Source organism: Homo sapiens, chromosome 12 (assembly GCF_000001405.40).
Source record: "Homo sapiens chromosome 12, GRCh38.p14 Primary Assembly".
In the NCBI taxonomy this organism is placed as follows: Eukaryota; Metazoa; Chordata; class Mammalia; order Primates; family Hominidae; genus Homo; species Homo sapiens.
This window is the reverse complement of record NC_000012.12, coordinates 58,794,657-58,813,668: the sequence shown is the minus strand read 5'-3', so window position 1 is coordinate 58,813,668 and position 19,012 is coordinate 58,794,657. Positions and strand designations below refer to the sequence as shown.

Sequence of the window (19,012 nt, the reverse complement as noted above, 5' to 3'; positions counted from 1 at the left end):
TCAGATTTAAGATCAAACATCTTTTTTTCAGAGCTTTATGGATTCTAATAACAATAGAAAGTACTGAAATAAGCCTATTTTCGTGGCTGCCTTTCAATCAGTATGTAACACACTTTCCATTTTGTCTTCACCAGAAATAAATTGTACTTTAAATCTCTGCTCTCCTTAAATATTTCAAATATGTGGGATATGATATCATCTCTAAAAAGGGAACTTCTTTAGATGGCATTGTTAGGAAGCCTTAGCAAAAGCATTTTGCAAGCTAGTAACATAATTCTAGAACAGGTTTTATTGCCTTAGAAGATAGTAGCATCCTCCTGAGATTAAGAAATTGCTATAATTGCTATGTGAAAGAGAAGGCAGAGAGATAGTTTTTGCTGATAAACTTTGAGGTGCTTTAGAGAAGCAAGACAAGGTTGCTTTAAATGTATAACCTCCTTTCTTCACTCTCAGTTGTCCAAATCCTATTCCTCTACACCCTTGCACCTCATTTCTCCCACTTTCTGCTTCAGCTCACCTTGGTTCTTTGTGACACAACTTTTTCCATGCAACTGAGTCACTTGGAGAGACCTCTGCAACATTCATGAGGAAACAAGCATCATTGACAGTGCTGAATTTATTGTTTTGTAAAGGCATGGGTTTTTGTGTGTGAACTTCTGGAGACAAAAGAAACATGAATTGTGACTATAATTTATCCCATGCCATATATTCCCTATTCTACACTTAATGTTTAATTAATTGCTCTTATCAGGCTCTGTGGCAGCATTTTACCTTTTTGAATAGCTGCTCATTTTCCCTACATTTCCCTACATTTCAGCGCTCTCTAAAGGGTACTATTCTTCTTGTGTGACAGATGGGCATAACTTTACAAGAAAGGGATTTAGTCATTAACACCCATGCAAACAGATTATTCTTGCTAAGAAAATACCTTGTAAGGACACAAGAGCAGTGTAGCTTTTGAGAGAAACCATATCTCATACATTAAAATTGCAAAAACACTTTCAGATTAATTGCTGTTTATTAGAATTGTTTGTGGGGAGTGAGGATGTTGAAGCAGAAGGCAGATCGTAGAACAGAGGTTTTATTATAACCTTCCAAAGTCTGGAGGTGGCAGCTGCTGGTGGCAGGTATAGCAGAGCACTTGGAGACATGGAGTGGGAGGTCAGCAGTGGTGATGGATTCTGGAGATACTGGATCACCATGAGCAGAGCTCTCATTTCTCTCCCAGCTAGAAGTGGCAGCTACTGTTTGAGAACTGCAATAAATAAACATTTGCCAAGTTAATCAGGCATGTACTATGTCCATTAATCCCTCCTGTTCCAGGTCAAACCTTATCCCTTCCCTCTTTGAAAGGAAACAGCAGTTATGTGCTCACTATTGTGAGGGACATTATACATTTATTCATTTCTATATATCTATGAATCCTTTCTGAGCTGTCGAGTATGCATTCCTTCCTTCAGTTAAGAGGTATTTATTGAATGGCTACAATGTGTCACTGCATGAGGTGACACAGGCTGTGGGGAAACTCGCTGCCTGATATCAGAAAGCTTACAGTCTATCGCAAGAAACTTAGACATTAAGTGAGAAATTACAAATTAAAATGTGAATTGTAATCACAGCAATAAATTAATGCACCTTATAGTGAGTCTTTTGGGTTGAGTAAAGTGTTTTATTTTGAAGTACTTCTCCTTCATAATACTGTTTTCAGCTGAAATGCATTTTTCTCATGCATGAGAAAAACAGAAAGCTGAAAAAGAGTAAATAAGTGATGAGAAATTAAGCAATTAAGATGATAGGACAGAGGAGGTAATGTTTTCAAATTGGAAAACAGATACCTAAGAGATGAATTAGTCTATAATCACATAAGGAACTCTTTAAAATGCCTCATAACAATGCCTTTTTTTTTTTGTATTTATAATGTTTCTCATCCATTAGGTTACTTTGTCCTCACAATGAGCCTGCAGGGGTAATAAGGGGAAGTATGACCCTCCTGGTTTTACGGGGAAGTTCAAGTCTTGCCTAATGTTACCCAACTAACAATGAACAATGTTGGGACTCAGACCCAGGCCTTCTGGTTTCCAGTCTATTATGAGTTCTATGGCTACATGACAACACATTTCTCTTCACCTGTCATCTCTAAATGTGTTTGACAGCTGCAAGGCAATCCAAGATCACTGACAGGACAAAAACAATCAAGTTCACATCAAGACCCTACATTTAGAAAGAAGTTCAGAAAGAAGTTTCGCAAAAGTAATTTATGTCAAATGCAGAAAGTCTAGAAAATCTAGAGAGACAACAAAACTCACCCATAATTCCATCAGCCAAATATAACCAGTTTTAAGATTTACATATATATCCTCCCAGTCTTTTTTCCTTGCATCTTTATTATTATTATTTCACCAAAAGAGACTACATTGAACTTCTACTTTGCAAACTACAGCTTAAAATTAGCTCTCTCTCTCTCTATATATATATATGCTACATATATGTGTGTGTGTATATATATCATACATTACCCCATATTGATATTCCCTATAGTATGATATTAAGGTTAAAATATTTTTGTTATATAAATGTACTTTAATTTATTAAATATTTTATTTATATTATTTTGTTAAAGCAATTTCTAATTCTTAGGTATTAATATTTTTTCTGCCAATATGTACATGGCAGCAGTGATATGCTGATATTTCTCTCTGGTTAAAAAAGAAAGCCCTAGTCCATAATATTGATAATTTCTGTGGTGCAAGGATTTTCACCAGGACCAATTCTAAGTTTCCAAATGTTTAACAACCAGCTTGAAAATTTTCTAAAAGTTAAACAATAGCTTACAAGTTTGTAAGTGTTGTCTCCAGCATATTTCTACATGGCTAGAGTGTATATTCTTGAAGCTAAACCTTTGTCATATTTTTTATTTCTCTGTTTTTGACTCCATAAATAGAAAATTGCATGAAAAATTATTTACTAATAATAAATACTGGAGGGATGAATGAAGCTTATTTCATTGTTAGTGAGCAGTCATTACTTCTGTGATGATCATTAATATTTATATATTTTTCAGTCACTTATCTTTTTTTTTTTTTTTAGACAGAGTGTCACTCTGTAACCCAGGCTAGAGTGCAGTGGTGCGATCTCAGCTCACTGAAACCTCTGCCTCCCAAGTTCAAGCAATTCTCCCACCTCAGCCTCCCGAGTAGCTGGAATTACAGGTGCCGCCACCACGCCCAGCAAATTTTTGTATTTTTAGTAGAGATGGGGTTTTGCCATGTTGGCCAGGGTGGTCTTGAATTCCTGACCTCAGCTGATCCACCCACCTCAGCCTCCCAAAGTGCTGAGATTACAGGCATGAGCCAACACGACTGGCCCAGTCACTTATCTTAACCAAATATTATGTAATGTTTCTCTGTGTCTCATTTGTGTTTAAAGACTGAGGACAGTCATTGGATTATATATACTATTTAAAAGTTCCTTAAATTTATAAACTTAAAACTGGTACTCAGTGCATATTTAATAGATGTAGGTTGTAATACCAGCTCTACAATTAACAGATTGTTAAATTTCGGCCACTTTACTAACCCCTTTGAGGTTCAGTTTCCTCATCTGCAATCATTCAGTTTATTTCATGGAATTACCACAAAGATGTGCTATAAGATTTAAAGATTCTTTTGATGGTGGGACACATGCAGTGACATTTGGATAGGTGAAAGGCAGAACTCTATTTAACTTTCTGCTCCCAAAGAGAGCACAGGGAGTTGTGCTGGGGACAAGATAACAGCAAGCTGGAGCTGTAGCGGCCAACTCATGGATGGGAAGTGCGACAGGGTTAGCTAGGTTTCACAGACTTTCCATAGATTGGCTGTAGAATAACTTTTCAGGCGTCAGGGAATAGGTCTGTTCCTGGAACCTGTCCAGGTTGTCTGGTACCTGGCCCCAGGACGATTAGGGCTGGTACAGAGTGGCCTGGAGTATGGGAGTTTAAGACAGATGGTTGGGGTATAGTCTGAATCAGCTGTTCGAGAAGGGGACCTGACTGGCCTGTCTACTTTTCTTCACCTTTTAACCTCATTAAATCCTCTCACATGACAGAAAAATGACCACTATCAACCGAAGCTATCAGAGTGCTTTTTAACCTCGGTGTGGTTTCATCTGTGAATTAAATGTTGAGGTAACAGTGGTTCTTAACATTCTGAAGTCAAAGGCTCATTGAGAATCCTTTGAAAGCTGTGGGTGGCCTCCCCTGAAATGTGTAAGACTCATGTACAGAACATTTTGCCACTGTTTATGTTGTTGCTTCAGCACATGCACTTTACAGAAGCATTTATTTTGCCGTGAGATAGCTCACAGAGCACACTGCCTCCGTTTTCTTCTTTTAGTGGAGCAGCTCCACCAAGAGATTACAGGCCTTCAGTAAAACCTTGTTGGTTACTGCAGAACATTGAAACAGAAAGCTGCCTGATTAGCATGGCTAAAATTATTCACCAATTCAGACTGGTAGTGAGCCCCTCCTTGTCAAACTGCTCAGAATGGGCTTTCTTTAACCCTCAATAAAAGTGAAAAGGGGATTATTCCTCAGGTTCAATCCAGGCCTTTGAAACTTGTCTTCCAAAAGTCAACTTATCTTCTAAAAGATTTTTCTACACAGTGGAGAAGAAACTTATATTCTCTTTCCATTTCTTAGAAACTTTTTGAAGAAACCCTCTTTTTCATGAAGGTGATGATTTCACAGCAGTAGACAAGACTTATTTCAAGGTAATTGGCAAAAGTCTTTGATCTCAATACATTCTGATGTATTTATAATACTTAATCTAGCAAATATTTATGAAGCACCAACTATATATCAGGACCTTTATTAGGCGTGAGGGATACAGCAGGAAACAGGAAAGATAATTAACTGCCAATAAGCCATGATGGCTTCTATCTTCAGCCAACAAAAAAACCCCAGATGTTCTGCCAAACACTTCAAATGCTCTACCTAACCATAATGTCCCAATTTTTTGTCCCAATTTTTCTTCCAATCAAATATAGTACGTTTTTCTTCTTAAAAATCTGAAGATACTAATTTTCTTAAAGTTTCCAGAACAGACATAAAATATAAGGGTATTTCTGATAGCATAATGATTTACTTATTCACTCACTGTAGATGCAGGAGTAAACAATATAGACCTAGTCCCATGCCCACTAGCAAGCTGTGAAGGAAGAAAGCTAGTAACTGTAACTAACTGCACTTGGAGATATCAGCAATTCCATCTAGTTTATGCTGAAGGAAAATGGCACATCTGCCAATTGCTCTAAGACTTGCTTCAAAATATTAAGCGAATATCAGCATTTCTGGAGTAGATGATGTAGACAGAGGCACAAACTACAAACCAAGCCAGAAACCACTTCTCCTATTTCTAAAGCATGTGGATCCTTGAAGGCTCTCCAATTTGTGTCATACCTTCTATTTGGCAGTGCAGTAAAAAAAATTCACAGAAAACCAGTTTTTGCATTGAATTTCAAGTGAGCATTTTCAGGTTTGTCTATCTATTTCACATTTTCTGAAAACTCATCTTTCTTCCAAATGTATAGTTGGATAGGAGCTACCATGTTTCTGTAAAATGATCCATTCAGTGGCCACAGCCATTGAATTAAGCATTGGACACCTGACCCAGATGGGACAAATACATCTTTTCTCTGGAGAATTTGGTTCTACTATTAAGAACTTTTTTTTAAGAGGCTAAAGTTAAGAAAGGAATATCAGAGCCACCTGATAAGAGTCTAATATCTTAGGTTTAAAAATATAAATCAGATTTGATTTCTCCCCTGATTAAAATCACACAATGGTTGTCCATTATTCTTAAGATAAAGATCAACTCTGTCTCTATATCTGCACTGTACTACAGGACAGCTTCTGCCTACCTTTTTGACTTTACTTTTTATCACTCTACCCCTCATTCAGCCTCACTAATATTCCTATTTTTTATATATGGCAAACTCATTCCAGACTCAAAGACCTTACATTTGCTCTTCCTAAAAATTAAAATTAATGTCCTCTAATTTTCCTATGACAGGCTCCTCCTCATCATCCAAGTTGCAGCCTTCCTTCATGACCTCATTTAAAGTACTCTCTCCTCAAGTCCCTTTGATTTGAATTTTCCCTTTTATTTATTTATTTATTTGAGATGGAGTTTTGCTCTTGTTGCCCAGGCTAGGGTGCAATGGCGCTATCTTGGCTCACTGCAACTTCTGCCTCCCAGGTTCAAGCGATTCTCCTACCTCAGCCTCCCGAATAGCTGGGATTACAGGCCCCCGCCACCAAGCCTGGCTAATTTTTTGTATTTTTAGTAGATACAGGGTTTCACTATGTTGGTGAGGCTGGTCTCGAACTCCTGACCTCTGGCGGTCCACCCGCCTTGGCCTCCCAATGTGGCATTCTCCCTTTTCTAACATCCTAATTATTACCTAAAATCATATTTTGGTGTATTTGTTTACTTATCTCTTTTCCCTAAATTAGAATATGCCCTTCTAATTAATTTGCCTGACTAGTTCACTGATATAGCCTCAAGACCTGGAAGAATACCTGGCATGCTGTGGCAATCAGCAATTAATACCAACAAATATTTGCTGAATTGGTGAAGAATCAAATAATCCTATAGTATACCATACTCAGGAACTGTCATCATCTTTGTTTTTTATCTTTGTTTTCCATCATTTGGAACTGAGAAGTAAAGGAAGATATAGAGAGGCAAGGAAAACAAAGCAGATATGCTAATATTAGCTTTAGTGGGAGAACGAGAGTCCCAAACACATTCAAATCCCTGGCTCTAGTTCACTGCTTAGGCCCATATGCATCCCTCTTGCCTTCCATGAGATAATCTCAAATCCCCATAATCTATTGCTTTTTTTTTCTGAAGCTAATTTGAGTAAGATTTCTGTAATCTTTAGTGATAAAAAATAGTTGTATGTTTAATTAAGATATAATTTAAACACAAAATTCGCAAATCTTAAATGTTCAATTTGATGTTTTCACAATTTTAAGCATCTATGTAACAACTACCCAAAGCAAGAGGTTGAACACTTTCATTACTCCAGGATATTTACTTGTGTCCCTTTCCAGACAGTCCTCCAATCCCTGACGCAGAGGCAATCACCTTCTGACTTCTATTACTGTAGAATAGTTTTTTTCTGATTTTGTTTAATATAAACAAAATTATACCATATGTGTTTTCATGTCTTACATCTTTGATTCAGCATGTTTTTGACATCCATATTTTTGTATCACTGAATCAAGACCTCATTAAGTTGCTTTCTTTTTATAGATGAGTAAAATTCCATTGTATGAATGTATGCAACTTGTTTATCCTAGAAAGAATTTTGAATGCAGAATTTGCACACTAGTTGAATGAAGGTGGGGTGAGGACAGCAAGAATTCTTTATTTGGGACCAGGAGGAGGATTATGCCTGTGGTAGCAGAACAGTTGGTTATTTATCTTCTGTTACATCTAGTACCCAAGATTTTTAGGAGACTTGGTGGCAAAATGTCAAAATATTTTAGTATGTTGACTGATTTATTCAGGCTTCATTATGAGTTTTTTATGAAAGGAATAATCTTCAGTTCAAGATGGCTCACCTGAAAGGAGCCCACAGACAATAGCACAAATTCATAGCTTCTGCCTTTAACCAGCTGGGGGTAAGATAATCTTTTACCTTGCTGAATTGCACCAGCCATTTCTTCAGTTGCATTCTATTCTGAAATTAGAACATATAAATTGGATTTTACAAATCAGAATGAGAATATCTGTGGGGTCCCAGGAAACTTAAGGTGCCCCTCTGAAGCACCAATACGGCGGGGGTAGACACATTGATGACCCCATACAATGGCCCTTTCGTAAAGTACATTCAACAAGACCCAGGTCAGGATAGGGATTCAAAGAATACAGCTCAGTATTTCTTTCACAGGTTATTTAAAAATAGAATTTTCTCAAATGAAATTGACAGACAACTGACCAATCTTTTGTAGCAGTTGTATCTCCAGAAAACACAGGAAGGCAAGACACTGATACAGACACTGATAAGAAATGAACTACAAAGTTGGCTTAGCCTCCTATAGAGAAATCCTCCAAAATCCCAGGCTCAAATGTTGCTCCTGAAGAACACGTATTACAGGAAACCCTCCCAATCAATAAATGCATTAACCAAAAACTTTACTTCACTTTCAAAGGGAGTTAACAAATGGAGGCCCAAGATGTTTTTTCATCTTATAATTTAATAATCAGGATATTCTCTGAACCAGTGACCAAATTATACCACAGCATTTTTCATTTTTTAACAAAAAATAAGTTTTATTTTAATTATATTGATTTTTCTCTATTATTGTTTATTAGATGTATTACATATTGTAAGGAACCATATAAATATATTATTGAACTTGAGTGGAATAGGAATAGATAGTCCTCAGAAAGCCTAGTCACAGAGAAATATTGCTTAGGTCATTATATCACAGAATGCAGGGCAAGTATGATTTTAGGCCAGAAAACTACTGTTTGGGGTTTCACCTGGGAAAGTTGGGGAATTTTAAGCAGGACGTTTTGGAGTTGCATGTATGAAAAGAATGTTATATACATGTTTACTGGGGGACCAAGGGTGGACTGTACATTTCTATACATTAATACCCGGTAATGACAATGTCTTTCTAAGAACTTGCATTACCTCATTCATCCATTGGAGGCAGCAGGAACAGCTACTGTTCCCCAAACCCTGGACACAGTTAATCCCACTGTGGGTACACACCTTCCCCAAGCTGAGTTAATCAAATCCCTGCCTGGGAATTTTCAAGCTGGTACTGTAAGAGAAATCAGGTTCTTTCTGGGTGGCTAAATTTATTCATATTATGAAAAACCTGGAATTGTTGGGGGCTGTATTTTCTATTATATAGTCCATAGACCAGAAAAATGTTGGAAGTTGATTTGCAGAGACAATGGAATGAAGTAGATGGACAGAAATGAGCCCAGTAAAATAAAATGAGTTTAGTGTTAATCTCTCTTGTTGCAGTTTCTTTCTGGAGTCCAGTTAAATCCTTAGGTTCCAAGGGAGAATCTGGTATCATGGTATAATTTGTTTTTGATGCTTAAGCTAACTCAATCTGTGCCTTAAATGAGCAATCTTTAATGAGATATTTACAGTCATAGGGTGGAATACATTATTCCTAACGTTTATCAAAGAAAAATTATTCTAGACATCATAACATGACAACAATGGTAAGGATATATAACTTAATTATCTAAAGAAATGCCTCAAGCTACCGTATAGTTGCCTTAATAAGTTATTCATTTGACAGAAAAAATCGTCCGAAAGATAGTTTTTAGTGTGATAAAACAAAATGAAAGAAAATTCATTTAGAACAACTCTGATTCTATCCTTGGACCTCGAAGGAGGTTTGTGTTCCAGGACATTGGAGGATCTATTTTTCTCTCATTGCTCAAGCATTCATTTTAGATACCTATTACTTCCCAGCCCAAAATGACTTGGCTCTCCAAGGCAGACAAAGCAGACTCCCACTGATCTGGAATATTTGTGAGAACTGAGGTTTGAGGGATGAGGCAAGAGTCCCACTTGTGAGTCATAACCTCACTCTTCAAGTGATATGCATGAACTGCAGGGTACAGCTCGTATCAGAACCTCCACTGCCTGCAAAGCTTTGGTTTGGTCAATCCTATGTATTTGCTTTGCTATATTCCCAAGTTTCACTTTTAAATGTGTGCTTGTTTATTTCAGCCTAGGGTGTGAGAAAAGAGCAACTCAATTTACCCCCAATTGCATTAATGACAGTGCCCTACATTTCTGCCTTTGTTTTTCACAATTCATTGGTGTTTAACCTAAAATATAATAAATGACGATAGAACATTAAAGCTATAGAGTCCTTAATGATTATTGAGCATACCCTGCACCCCCACCTGCATCACTTTACAGACCATATAACTGGGTTTCAAGAAGATGAATGCATTTGCCCAAGGATACAGTTAGTTATCAATGGAAGTGGGGTCTTGTGCCCTGGGCTCCTCGGTCTAAAATTATTGCTTTTTTATGGCACCAAGTTTATGGTAGATAGTGCAAAGGGAAAGATTCCTATTTATTTTTAAACTCAGATATCAACTATATAGTATTTTTCTAGGTAGAAAGCTTCTATCCACTGCCTTTTCCTGAAATTTTAAAGTAATTCTCATGAATTATTCCAAGCACATGGAAATCTGGCACCAAGGGAGAAAAGCAGAAATAATAGAACACAAAGCTTGCAAGCAGGTGCCTATTTTTTATACAGAGAATATTTAATTTTCAATTACTTGTTTGCAAGAAGACATCCAAAACGTCTCAGAACTAGTTAGTCTTCAATATGAAATCTTCCCTGCTGCTTCTGCCAGCCAACATTTTATTTCTTCTTGTAACCACCTCTGCATTTATTAAAAAGGAAAAAAAAAATCCAGGCAAATGACTCTTGTCTTCATACTCAATTCTTGCTATTACTGCATAAACAAAAATGTGCATGCTATCCCTGGGACAGTATTTTCTTGCCTGTACTTTTTTTATTTGGCTAAGTGAGGTATTGGAAATTTCAATCACTGTAAAATTGGAGGAAAATGTTGTTCTCATGTTAAAAACCATGAAAATATGAAGCAGCTCCCATAGGCCAGGTTAGAAAGCCCCAAATGAACAGAATATTAGACAATTACCTGTTGTGTTCAGGACCACGCACTTTCTCTATCTTCAAAAAATTGGAATAAGATACGTCCTATTTGCTCCAAAAGGCATTTAAATTAACCACATTGTCCTCATAAATCCCAGTACTGATATACCACACATTTTAATGCTGTCAGAAGATACAAAATGACAGTTAAATACTCATGGAAACAGAGCTGTTGGGTTTATTGAGTGTGTTCAACTTTATCCGTCAACTTTCTGAGGTTTGGAGTCAGGGAGGGTAACTACAGGACCTCCCTACAAATGTCTCTTGTTGGCATCATCATAAAGTAAGGACTGGGCTGAAGCAATGAGGAGGCTATCAGCCTGCCCTTCTCAAATACATATTGTCACTTTCCATTTTCAAAAGTACTGTTATTTCACAGGGAATAATCAGTTCCTATACTTCTTGCTAGTAAGAATTGGTGTGTTCTACCAAATTATTTTTGCTTTTGCACAATTAATCTCAGCTTACTTCAAAACTGAGTAAATAAAAACCTTCTTTCAATCAGTTAATGTTTGTATCAACCCTTGAAAATAATCCATAGGAAAAAAAATCACCTGTATATACTACAGTAGTGGGGCAGATGAAGAGACAAGCAACTAAGGCAGCAGCAGAACTCTCAAAAATAGACTTATTTCTGACCTAAATGTTGCCAGAGAAGCAGACTCCTGATGTATCTTGGGGCTTGCAGCTGCCAGGAATGTTTTCTGGGTGGTCACAGAGCTCATTAATCACTTCTGTGTGTTCACTAGCCTGGTGGCACGTTGACATGCAGAAGCTTAAAGGACTGGGTAAATCTGGTAAATCTCATCATTTTATAGGCTGGCCTAAATCCCTTCAAAGCCCAAATTCCTTTGCATGGCATATGAAGCATTTCCTGATGTAACCCCAAACCCCTCTCCTACATCATCTGACTATTCCCTTTGTCCTATCCTAAGCTTTAGGTTATGCTGGGCCATGCTGTTATATACCTTTCAACATTCCACTCCCTTGGTTGTAGTATCCTGCCTTCCTAGTCAACATGATGAACCATATAGCTTTCAAAACTCTGTTCAAGCTCCATTGGCCTTGTTGGTTACTTCGCTGTTTTAATCCTCAATGTACATTTTGTAACTTTTTGTTTATTATTGTATCTATTATTTACTGTTATAACTACTGTTTACTATTGTAACTATTCTGCAAGGGCAGGAAATAACTTGTTCATGGGCTTATCTCTGCACACAGCACAATGCCTAGCACCTGACAGGTGCTTAATACATATTTGAAGAATAAAAGAGGGAATGAATCCATCCAATGGATGTCTAGATTGTGACCAACAATGCCAAAGTTAATCATACTTTTATTATAGAATCAAACTATCCGCTGAATTCAATGCTCTCAGTCCTAAATGTTCAAAACTTGAGGTAGGAAATAAGGCCAAGAAGAATAATATCTAAAAGGCAGCAGGCTAAGTATGGAATTTGAACAAAGATTCAAATTTGGCTTTTCCAAAGTGGTGGGGGTGGGGGGTGTTGGGGAGAACACAAATATGGAGTTAGGACTGAAAATGGTACAGCAGCTCAAGGAGAATTGAAAGAGAAAGATAATGATGGACAGCAAATTGTCCCAACCATGTTCAGGTCCCAGATGCCTGACTATGCAGATCAGGGTTATGGAAACTTACTTTGAATTCAGGAGCAGAAAATTCAGGCCCTGAGGACAAAATGGAAAACCAGTTGGTAAGTATCTTAGGAACAAGTAAGATGGATCAACAAGAATGTCTCATACCAAGTCATTTACTTACATATATATACACATATATATTATATGTATATGATAAACTAGGACTTGTCCATGGCCATATGTATATACATATATTTATAATATATACATATGATATATGTATATTATATGTAATATATATATCATATGTATTATGTATATGTATATGTATGTATTATATGTATATGTATAATACATATAACATGTATAATATATACACATATATAATATAATAATATATACACATATATAATATATACACATATACATATACACATATATGTATATATATATGGCCATGGACGAGTCCTAGTCAACAATTTTCAAGAAAGCCTATCCATACCTGTGGGGTGATGAGAGTAGTGTTTAATAGTTGAGCTGTGGAGTCAGGCTGCCTATGCTATAAGCCTGAGTCCATCACTTTCCAGATCAGAAGCACTGTTCAATTAATTAATTTCTGTGAGCTGTAAAATAGGGCTGCAAGAATTGCACCAGAGGTACAAAGAGGAGCTGGTACCATTCCTTCTGAAACTATTCCAAACAATCAGAAAAAGAGGGACTCTTCCCTGACTCATTTTATGAGGCCAGCATCATCCTGATACCAAAACCTGGCAGAGACAAAACAAAAAAAGAAAAATTCAGGCCAATATCCCTGATGAACATTGAAGCAAAAATCCCCAATAAAATACTGGCAAACCGAATCCAGTAGCACATCAAAAAGTTTATCCACCATGATCGAGTTGGCTTCATCCCTGGGATGCAAGGCTGGTTCAACATACACAAATCAGTAAACGTATTCCATCACATCAACAGAACCTGTGACAAAAACCACATGGTTATCTCAATAGATAGATGCAGAAAAGTCTTCAATAAAATTCAACATCCCTTCATGTTAAAAACTCTCAAAAATTCAAGGGTTGATGGAACATATCTCAAAATAATAAGAGCTATTTATGACAAACCCACAGTCAATATCATACTGAATAAGCAAAAGCTGGAAGCATTCCCTTTGAAAACTGGCACAAGACAAGGATGCCCTCTCTCACCACTCCTATAGTGTTAGAAGTTCTGGCCAGGGCAATCAGGCAAGAGAAATAAATAAAACGTATTCAGTTAGGAAGACAGGAAGTCAAATTGTCTCTTTGCAGATGACATGATTCTATATTTAGAAAACCCCATAGTCTCAGCCCAAAAACTCCTTAAGCTGATAAGCAACTTCAACAAAGTCTCAGGATACAAAATCAATGTGCAAAAATCACAAGCATTTCTATACACCAACAATGGATGAGCAGACAGCCAAATCATGAATAAACTCCCATTCACAATTGCTACAAAGAGAATAAAATACCTAGGTATAAAACTTACAAGGGATGTGAAGGACCTCTTCAAGGAGAGGTATAAACCACTGCCCAAAGAAACAAGAGAGGACACAAACAAATGGAAAAACACTCCATCCTCATGGATAGGAAGAATGAATATTGTGAAAATGGCCATACTGTCCAAAGTAATTTATAGATTCAATGTTCTTCCCATCAAGATACCACTGAGTTTCTTTGCAGAATTAGAAAAAAAACTACTTTAAATTTCATATGGAACCAAAAAGACCCCATATAGCCAAGACAATCCTAAGCAAAAAGAACAAAGCTGGAAGCATCACACTACCTGACTTCAAACTATACTATAAGGCTACAGTAACCAAAACAGCATGGTACTGCTACCAAAACAGATACATAGACCAATGGAACAGAACAAAGACCTCAGAAATAACACCACTCATCTACAATCATCTTATCTTTGACAAATCTGACAAAAACAAGCAATGGGGAAAGGATTCCCTATTTAATAAATGATACTGGGAAAACTGGCTAATCATATGCAGAAAACTGAGCTGGACCCCTTCCTTACACCTTATACAAAAATTAATTCAAGATGGATTAAAGACTTAAATGTAAAACCCAAAACTGTAAAAACTCTAGAAGAAAACCTAGACAATACCATTCAGGACATTGGTATGGGCAAAGACTTCATGACTAGAACACCAAAAGTGGTTGCCACAAAAGCCAAAACTGACAAATGGGATTTAATTAAACTAAAGAGCTTCTGTACAGCAAAAGAAACTACCATCAGAGTGAACAGGCAACCTACAGAATGGGAGAAAATTTTTGCAATCTACCCATCTGACAATGGTCTAATATCCAGAATCTACAAGGAACTTAAACAAATTTACAAGAAAAAAACAAACACCCCCATCAAAAAGTGGGCAAAAGATATGAACAGACACTTCTCAAAAGAATACATTTATGCAGCCAAAAAAAAAAAGCATATGAAAAACAGCTCATCATCACTGGTCATTAGAGAAATGCAAATCAAAACCACAATGAGATAGCATCTCATGTCAGTTAGAATGGCGATTATTAAAAAGTCAGGAAACAATAGATGCTGGTGAGGCTATGGAGAAATAGGAACACTTTTACTCTGTTGGTGGGAGTGTAAATTTTGTGGAAGATGGTGTGGTGATTGCTCAGGATCTAGAACCAGAAATACCATTTGACCCAGCAATCCCATTACTGGGTATATACCCAAAGGATTATAAATCAATCTACTATAAAGACACATGCACATGTATGTTTATGGTGGCACTATTCACAATAGCAAAGACTTGGAATCAACCCAAATGCCCATCAATGATAGACTGGATAAAGAAATTGTGGCACATATGCACCATAGAATACTATGCAGCCATGAAAAAGAATGAGATCATGTCCTCTGCAGGGACATGGATGAAGCTGGAAGCCATCTTTCTCAGCAAACTAACACAGGAACAGAAAACAAACACCACATGTTCTCATTCATAAGTAGGAGCTGAACAATGAGAACGCATGGACACAGGGAAGGGAACATCACACACTTGGGCCTGTTGCAGGTTGGGGGACAAAGGTAGGCAGAGCATTAGGACAAATATATAATGCATGCAGGGCTTAAAACCTAGATGATGGGTTGATAGGTGCAGAAAACCACCATGGCACATGTATACCTATGTAACAAACCTCCACATTCTACACATGTGTCCCAGAACTTAATGTAAAGTAAAAATTAAAAATAAAACAAAATAAAGTGTTAAATATGATAAGAAAATAGGGCTGAAAATAGTAACTACTTCATAGGGGTGTTGGGAGGATTGAATGTGTTAATCCATGGGAAGTACTTAACCCACATACTGGAAGGATCAGAGTGAGTATAGCCAGGGAAGTCATTACACTTTTTTGAGAGGTCCCTGGTAGGAAACACATATTTAATTTTTCATGTGGATTCCAAATAGGCTCTCTTTCTATTTATTTGTTTTCAGAAAATAATTACCACTGTGTCCTTTAGAAGGGAAAAAAATCCACCAGCTAACAAAGATACCCCTTTGAGTAGAAATAAGAACAGAGAAACATACGACAGGTCTAAAACTTTGCAAAAGAAGTAGTTTTGTTGGCTAGTTGATGTGTCTGGTTACGAGTGTATAAGAGGTTTGGTGACAATATATTTTTTTAACAAAGCAGTTGCTTAAGTAATACAACAAAATAAAATATAATTTAATTTTGTGGATATAGGCAATTAGGAATTGGCCCTGTTGCACTGCAATCCTTGGGAGCCCAGGCTGTTTCCAGCTTTGCATTCCACCACCCTTAAAGTGAGCTATCAGGGGCCTTAGAGTTCCAGATAGAGCTTCAGCAATCTCATATGCATCCAAGAAGCAAAAATAAGAAGGAAATACACTTCCCCTTTAAGGACACATTTCAGAAATTTCCACACCACTTTCCTACACTTATTATCAGAACTTAGTCATTTTACCACAACTAGTAGCAGAAAAAATTGAGATGTATAGTCTGTATTCAGGTAATCTACTTAACTAAAATTGAGAATTTTATTATATAGAAGAGGAGAGACTGAGGGCATCAAACAGCCTTTGCCAGAGCTGACTTTGATGTTCTTTATGTGTACTCGTGTATTATCCTCATAACTCTACCGTGATAAACACGTTTGTATGAAATAATTTTGTTTTGCTTGTTGGTAACTCATGAAGTCAAAACTGGATTTTCATGTGTCTTTCCATATCTCTGCACTTAATTTCAAGCTAACATATTTGTCCATTATTTCCTGCTAAAATGAGTTTCTTTCATTGCACAACCATTTCCCAGGCTACCAGTCCAATTTCTAGATCTGAAGCAATATTTATGAGGTATTTACTCCTAGCCTGAAGTCCCCCAAACCCTGGAGGATTTAAAATTGTATAAGTATAATTTTTCTTGATTAAGGGTCCTATGTCCACACTGTTGCTAACTTTTGTTTCTAGCAAACTCTTACTCATTCTTCAAAACCCATCTTCAGCTTTCCATCTTTGTCAAGTTTCCTATAATTCTCCTAGTTTGTCTTCCTCTATGCGCTCACAGAATGTTGTTTTTATCTCTAGTGTCACACTTGGCACATTGCGTTGTGAATATGTGCATTCCTGCCCTCTCAAGTTGACTGTGAGTTTGGGCAGGCAGACAGGTACTCGGAAGCATTTGTTTAATGAATGAGTAAATTGTTTCCTCACCTAATAGGTGGTTACTTATATACCATTATTTCAGAGAAAGTTTCTTTAATTAGCAGAAATACAGCATGGGTAATAATAACAGCATTAATATGCACATGACCTCTTCTCCTACTTCACAGAGAAAATGAAACCATCAGAAAAAAATGCCTTCACTTTTCTGCCATCAAACCTAGAAACCTGCCTGCATCCTTATTTCCCACATCTTCTGTTTTCTTTCCATCTTATTATAGTTCTGGAGATAATCCTCCATCTGTGTTATAGGACCCACATCCCAACTTTCCACAGAAACTCACATTATTCATTACAACTTTCTTTCTTGTTCTTTTAACTTCTTTCTGTTGCACTCTTCCCATCATTTAAACATATGCAATTCATTTTCATATTTTAAAGAAAATACCATCTTTGGACTCTACTTCCCTTTCCTACTGTTACTGTATATTTTCTCTCTTTTACAAAGCTTTGAGAAAGTCACCCAAGCTCACCGATTCACTAACCAGCCACTTAGTCCTCAACTCACTCCAGGCTGTGGCCCTCTCCCACCGCTTCATGCACATGGTTCCTGCAACAATCAAACTAAGCCAGTCAGCATTTTTCTAGACAGACTTCTGCTGTTTGACTCTCTCAGCATCATTCGAGAGTGTAGAGTACTATGTCTTCTTGACACAATCTCAACACTAGCCTCCTTATCACCAAATTCCCTCATTTTCATTTACTTCTAGGACTAATTCTCAGATTTTCTTGCTAGATCACTTTCCTTTATCTGGTTTTTGATCTTGAGTTCTTAGAGGTTTTGTCACTGGTCTCTTCCTCTTCTTACTCTGTATTCTCAACTTCATGATTTTATCCATGCCCATATTATTAATTACCATCTATATTATGAATACTTTCAAGTGAGTATCTTCATTCCAAAGTTTTCCTCTGAGCTCCAGACTCAAGTAGCAAATTGCCTACATAAAATCTCCAACTGGAAATCTTAGAAAAACTACAAACCTAACACATTTAATATGTGTGTACCTGAACTCATGACCTCCTTCCTCAAACCCAGCCTTCCACAAGTGCTCTCTTAATAAATGGTGTTACTATTTACCTGGTTGCCCAAAATGAAAATTCAGAAGTCATTATTTTGTCTACAGAAAAGAGTACAGTTCTGTGTGGCCGATTTTCTAGCAACTGAGGGAAACTTTGGTATATAGTGTTAGCTAGCCTCTAAGATGGCCGTCAGTGATTCTGCCACCTGATGTTCATTGTGAATCCTCTTCCCTTAAGCATAGATTACACTTAGTGATTCACTTGCAACAAATGGAATGTGACAGAAGTAATGTGATACCACTTCCAGATTAAGTTTTAAAAAGACTGGCCTCCATCTCGGGTGTGTGCACTCTCTCGTACATGCGCGTTCTCTTTCTCTCACCAAGTATACCGAGAGAAGCAAGCTTCCATATCATGAGGTCATTCAGAAAACCCATAGAGAGGCTCACATCCCAAGAAACCAAAGGTTTCAGTTGCAGATGGCATGTGAGGAACCACACCCTGCCAACAACCATGTGAGTGAGGTTGAAAGTGAATTCTTCAGCCCAGTTATGGTTTGAGATGACTACAGCCCCAGCTGACAGCTTGACAGCTACCTTATTAGAGACTTTGACCCAGCTAAGCTGTTTGCCATTTTAACTTGCTAAGTTTGGGATAATTTGTTATGCAGCAAAAGATAACCAACATATATTTGAAAAAACTTGCCTTTGGCGCTGCCAATCTATAACAACTTTATGATTTTGTAGAGATTGCAAAACAGACATGCATATATAGACTATTGGGTAAATATTGAGCTAATTAATGACACAGTTGATTTGTATGTTTTTCTATTAAAAAACAACTTACAGCAAAAATTTGTTTTCAGTGTGAATTGTCTTTTACTTTTGAAGACTTTAACTGTTGTACAATTATAAAAATATGAA

General features: G+C 37.1%; 1 long non-coding RNA gene across 1 annotated transcript in view; it reads right to left on the bottom strand.

Moving 5' to 3' along the window:
• Positions 1–999: 999 nt before the first annotated feature.
• The window catches only part of LOC100506869 (uncharacterized), a 220,968-nt gene continuing 202,955 nt past the window's right edge, over positions 1,000–19,012 (bottom strand). Inside the window, exon 2 of the long non-coding RNA NR_126341.1 lies at positions 1,000–1,255. This is a non-coding gene — a long non-coding RNA (uncharacterized LOC100506869). The remainder of the gene's footprint in view (positions 1,256–19,012) is intronic.